Source organism: Homo sapiens, chromosome 2, assembly GCF_000001405.40.
Source record: "Homo sapiens chromosome 2, GRCh38.p14 Primary Assembly".
In the NCBI taxonomy this organism is placed as follows: Eukaryota; Metazoa; Chordata; class Mammalia; order Primates; family Hominidae; genus Homo; species Homo sapiens.
The window spans coordinates 107,918,240-107,924,615 of record NC_000002.12 but is presented as its reverse complement, the minus strand read 5'-3'; the positions used below and the strand labels follow the sequence as shown (position 1 = coordinate 107,924,615).

The window sequence follows — 6,376 nt, the reverse complement described above, 5'->3', positions numbered from 1 at the left end:
ATGGGACTCTAAATTTCTTAATCATATGCATATATTATTTCTAAATTTAAAATAAAATAATTCTAATACTAAGTGGTAGCAAGGGTGGGATTATAAATATAAATGGAACCATCTTTCTAGAGGGCATTTTGGCAATATGTATGAAAAGACCTAAAACATTTTAGACCATCTTACCCGGTAATTCTGTTTTGAATTATATATCCTAAGGAAATAGTTAGAGACACAAAACAAGATTTATATTCAAGAATATTTATTGACGTTATTTTATGCATTTATAGTAGTTGAAATTGTAATACTTAAGATGTCATAGTAGAGATTAGCCAAGTAAATTATGAAACATTAGACAAAGGAATACAAGCTGCCATTAAAATCCGTGTCATCAAATATCATCCAGAGACAGATACAAAGAATGATCACAATATAATGTTGCCTAAGGGGGAGTCTATATCAAGAGTATCCTCCCATTTATCTTAAGTATATATGATTGTCAGGCAGACATTTCTACATCGTCTTCAACCCAGCCTGGGTTGAAGCCACCTTGGCTTCCCGAGTAGCTGGGACCACAGGCTCACACCACCATGCCCAGCTAATTTTATTTATGTATTTATTTGTTGTAGAGACAGGGTTTTGCCACGTTGCCCAGGCTGGTCTCAAACTCCTGGGCTTAAGAGATTTACCCGCCTCAGCCTCCCAAAGTGTTGGGATTACAGGCGTGAACCAGCATGCCTGGCCATACGTGTATATATTATTCTTTTTTCCCTTCTGAATGCTGTGAGTAAAGTATTAATTAATTGTGGGCCTAGATCCTGAACAGACCTAGGCCGCCTTCTCACAACACTGTTTCCTTGGAAATGTATCAAGTTCAATGTGGAATAATGTATGTTGGGAACTGGTCACCTACTTTGTTTACTGTGAAGCCCTTGGTCTGTGGGACTGTTCCTGCCCTGGGAATGCACACAAGCCTGGAGCCTTCATCACAAGGAGAATATAAAAGACTCATGGGAAACCAAGGCGGGGACTTCCCTCTGTCAATATGAACCACATACACCTTCACCTCTTTTGTTTTTGTTTTTGTTTTTGTTTTTGAGATGGAGTCTTGCTCTGTAGCCCAGGCTGAAGTGCAATGGCGTGGTCTCCGTTCACTGCAACCTCCGCCTCCCGGTTTCAAGTGATTATCCTGTCTCAGCCTCCTAAGTAGCTGGGACTACAGGCGCGTGCTACCGCACCCGGCTAATTTTTGGTTTTTAGTAGAGACGAGGCTTCGTCATGTTGGCCAGGCTGGTCTCAAACTCCTGGCCTCATGATCTGCCCTCCTTGACCTCCCAAAGAGCTGGGATTAAAGGTGTGAGCCACCACGCCTGGCTCTTCGTCTCATCTCTAGTCACTGTGCACGCTCTGCATGTGGGTGAGTGAAGGGATGAGAAACTATGTGCATGGGTACTGCTGGGCCTCCCAGTGAGCTGTAAGATGTTGGGTATACTGTATTTTCTGTTCTTCATTCTCTGTACAGCTAAGTAAATGCAGTGCTAAATTAAAGCCATTGAGACTTATGGATCTGATTGCCAATCTGAACATGTGCCCAGTGCTGGTGGTAGGAAACATGCCTTAAATAAATACATCTATATTTGAATTAACTCGAAGCCATATGAAAAAAATGAAGATCTCTGGTAAAGATAAATACATGGGCAATTATAAGGTAGTATTATTGTAATTTTCACTTATAATTCCATTTTTATTAATAATTTTCTGCACTTTAAAAAGACAAATGCAAAAAACAAGTATTAACCTATTTATTGGGCACATAATATATAGCGATGTAATTTGGGACATCAATAACAAAAAGCAGAAGACAAAGATGCATGGAGCAGAGTTTTTGTATGCTACTGAAGTTAAGTTGGTATAGATTCAAAATAGAATGTTGTAGCTTTAATAAGTTAAATAGAATCCTCATGGTAACTAGAAAGAAAATATCTATACAATATACTCAAAAGGAAATAAGAAGAAAATAAAAATTTTTCCCTGAAAAAAATCAGCTAAACACAAAACAGGCAATGATGGAAGAAAAAGGGGACAATAAAGAAATGGCAGATAGAAAAAAAATAACAAAATGGCAATAATATTTACTCCTTATCAGTAAATACTTTAAGTATAAATGGATTAAGTTCTCTAATTGAAAGACAGAGATGCGGAAAATGGATACAGAAAAACAGGATCTAATTATTATCTACAGGAGACTCACTTTAGGACAAAAGACACTAATAGGTTGAAAGTGAAAGGATGGTAAAAAATATTTCATGCAAATAGTAACCAAAAGAGAGCTGAGGTGGCTATAGTAATATCAGATAAAATAGATTCTAAATCCAAAAAGGTTACAAGAGACAAAGAAGGACATTAATAAGAGGTTTAAAACAGAAAAAAAATATAGCAAGTATAAATATTTACATACCTAATAACAAAAATATATGAAGCAAAAACACGACAGAATTGTAATAGGCAATCCTAGAGTAATAGTTTGAGAATTCAATATTCCACTTTCAATAATGGATAAAACAACCAGAGAGAAGATAAGAAATTAGAGGACTTGAACAACAAAATAAACCAACTAGCCCTAACAGACACATACAGAACACTCAGCCCAATAACAATAGAATACACATTGTTCTGAAGCACACACGGGATGTTCTCTAGGATAGACCACCATAAACATGTTTTAATAGATTAAAAAGTATAGATATCACACAAAGTATCCTCTCTAACCACAATGGTATGAAGTCAGAAATCAATAACTGAAGAAACACCAGAAAATTCACAAATACGTGGAAATTAAACAATGCACTCTCACAAAACTAATGCATCAAAGAAGAAACCACAAAGAATATTTGTATCTTGAGATAAATGAAAATAAAAACACAACATATCAAAACTTATGAGATGCAACAAAAAAGCAGGGCTAAGAGGGAAGTTGACAGCTGTAAATGTCTATATTACAAAAGATCTCAAATCAATAACTCAACTTTATATCGTAAGGAACTAGAAAATGAAGAGCAAATGAAACCCAAAGATAGCAGAAATAAGACAGTAATAAAGATTAGAGCAGAGATTTTTAAAAAGTAGAGACAATAAACGATAGAAAAAATCAATAAATAATTTATTGGGAAAGAGAAACAAAATTGACAAACTTCTATCTAGACTGACAAAAAACAAAAGAGAAAAGATGCAAATGACTTAAATAAAAATAAAAATGGACTGCCATTTTGTGGACGCCGGGTGAGCGAGAGCATCGCTGGGTACTGGGCCGGAGGAAAGCGGGAAGACCCATCGGAGCGTATGGATTTGAGCCTCCGCATTTTTTACCCTAGATGTCGAAATGCATCGTGATTCCTGTCCATTGGACTGTAAGGTTTATGTAGGCAATCTTGGAAACAATGGCAACAAGACCGAACTGGAACGGGCTTTTGGCTAGTATGGACCACTCCAAAGCGTGTGGGTTGCTAGAAACCCTCGCGGCTTTGCTTTTGTTGAATTTGAAGATCCCCGAGATGCAGCTGATGTGGTCTGAGAACTAGATGGAAGAACACCATGTGGCCGCTGTGTAAGAGTGGAACTGTCGAATGGTGATAAAAGAAGTAGAAATCGTAGCCCACCTCCCTCTTGGGGTCCTCGTCCTTGAGATGATTATCATAGGAGGAGTCTTCCACCTCGTCGCAGATTTCCAAGAAGAAGCCTCTCTCGCAGCTGGAGCAGGTCCCTTTCTAGAGATAGAAGAGAGAGATCTCTGTCTCGGGAGAGAAATCACAAGCCGTCCAGATCCTTCTCTAGGTCTCGTAGCCGATCTAGGTCAAAAAAAAAAAAAAAAAAACAAAGAAGACCAGTTGGCAAGAGAAGTGGTGTACAAGAAATTACTTCATTTGACAGGAGTATGTACAGAAAATTCAAGTTTTGTTTGAGACTTCATAAGCTTGGTGCATTTTTAAGATGTTTTAGCTGTTCATATGTGTTTGTCTCTTGAAACAGTGACACAAAGGTATAATTCTCTATGGTTTGAAATGGATCATGTGAGGCATGTAATACCAAGAATTGTTACTTTACAATGTTCCCTTAAGCAAAATTAAATTTGCCTTGAACTTTAGTTATGCATAGACTGATAATAAAGCTCTAAACATGCAAAAAATAATAATAAAAGTAAAAATGGAGACACTACCACTGATTTTACAGAAATAACGGATTAAAAGAGAATAGAAAAATAGATGAAAAAATAGACAACCTAGATGAAATGAAGAAATTTATTGAAACATAGAAATTATGTAGGTTGACAGAAGAAATAGAAAATCTCAACAGTTCTATAACAAAGTGATTGTAAACATAATTAAGAAAAAACTTCCCCAAAAGAAAAGTCCTGAATCAGATGGCTTCACAGGTGAATTCTACTAAAGAAAGAAAAATTGACAGAAATTATTTCTCAAATAATCCAAAAAATTGAAGTTTTGGGGATAGCAAGGAACACTTGCTATGCATTCTGTGAAACCAGCATTACCTTGCTATTAAAGCCAGATGATATTGCAAGAAAAGAAAATTGCAGACTAACATTGCTTATAAATATAGATGGAAAATCCTTAACAAATATTAGCAAGGCCGGGCACGGTGGCTCACGCCTGTAATCCCAGCACTTGGGGAGGCCGAGGCAGGCAGATAACCTGAGGTCAGGGGTTCAAGACCAGCCTGGCCAACATGGTGAAATCCTGCCTCTACTAAAAATACAAAAATTAGCCTGGCATGGTGGTAGGTGCCTGTAATCCCAGCTACTCGGAGGCTGAGGCAGGAGAATTGCTTGAACCCAGGAGGCGGAGGTTGCAGTGAGCTGAGATCATGCCACTGCACTCCAGCCTGGGTGACAGAGTGAGAATCCAGCTCAAAAAAAAAAAAAATTAGCAAATTGACTCCATCAGTATACTATAAGGATTATTCACAATTGAATGGGATTTTACCATGAATGCAAGGACGTTTCAACAGAAGAAAATTAATCAATGTAGTACATCACATTATTTGAACAAAAGAAAAAAAATCACATTATCATCTCAATTGACATGGAAAAAGCATTTGAGGAATTTTAACATCCTTTCATAATAAAAACTCTCGGCTGGGTGCAGCGGCTCACACCAGTAATCCCAGCACTTTGGGAGGCCTTGATGGGTGGATCAGCTGAAGTCAGGAGTTCAAGACCAGCCTCGCCAACATGGTGAAACCCCGTCTCTACTAAATAATACAAAAATTAGCCGTGCATGGTGGTGGGCACCTGTAATCCCAGCTTCTTGGGAGGCTGAGGCAGGGAGAATTGCTTGAACCAGGGAGGCAGAGGTTGCAGTGAGCTGAGATGGTGCCACTGCACTCCAGCCTCGGCAACAGAGTGAGACTCCATCTCAAAAAACAAAAAACAAAAACAAGCAAACAAACAAACAAACAAAAAACTCTCAGCAAATTAGGAACAGAGGGAAAATTTCTCAACATGATAGAGTGTGTTTCTGGAAAACTTACAGCTAACATTATATTCAATGGTAAAAAAAACTGAATAAGTTCCCCTTAAGATAAGGCACAAGAAAAAGTTTCCCAGTGCTGTTTGACACTGAATTGAAAGTTCTAGCTAGACAAGAAAAGCAAATAGACCGGGTGTGGTGGCTCATGCCTGTAATCCCAGCACTTTGGGAGGCCGAGGTGGGCAGGTCCTTTGAGCGCAGGAGTTTGAGCCCAGCCTCAGCAACATAGTGACACCCTGTCTCTACAAAAAATACAAAAAACAAAGTGGCCGGGCGCGATGGCTCACACCTGTAATCCCAGCACTTTGCGAGGCTGAGGCAGGTGAATCACCTGAGATCAGGAGTTCAAGACCAGCCTGGCCAATGTGGTAAAACCCTGCCTCTACAAAAAATGCAAAAATTAGCCCCCCATGATGTTGGGTGCCTGTAATCCCAGCTACTCGGGAGACTGAGGTGGGAGAATCGCTTGAACCTAGAAGGTGGAGGTTGCAGTAAGCCAAGATCGTGCCATTACACTCCAGTCAGGGCAACAGAGTGAGACTCCATCTCAAAAAAAAAAAAGTGATCCAAATCTAAAGGAATAGATGAAACTATTTCTGTGTATAGATGACATAATTCCTTGTAAACAAAACACCACAGAATCCACAAGAAAACTCAGAGCTAATGAATGAATTCAGCAAAGTTGCAGTGTACAAAATCAGCACACAAAAACAAATTGTTTTCTATACACTAGAAGGAAATTAAGAAAAAATTCCATTTACAATAGCATCTAAAAAATTAAATATACTTAGAAATAAATCTAACTGAAGAGGTGAAAGATTGATACACTGAAAACTATAAAAGAT

General features: G+C 38.4%; 1 pseudogene, besides 2 other annotated features; it reads left to right on the top strand.

The window, feature by feature from the left end:
• Window positions 1,632-3,245: a mobile genetic element, noted in NCBI's record as "direction; reverse".
• Window positions 2,653-3,049: a non allelic homologous recombination region, noted in NCBI's record as "2q12.3 proximal recombination sub-region, recombines with the 2q12.2 recombination sub-region". NCBI's record gives the evidence for it as "EXISTENCE:nucleotide sequencing assay evidence [ECO:0000219][PMID:23657883]".
• On the top strand, window positions 3,301-4,009 carry SRSF3P5 (SRSF3 pseudogene 5; annotated as a pseudogene).
• Window positions 4,010-6,376: the final 2,367 nt, after the last annotated feature.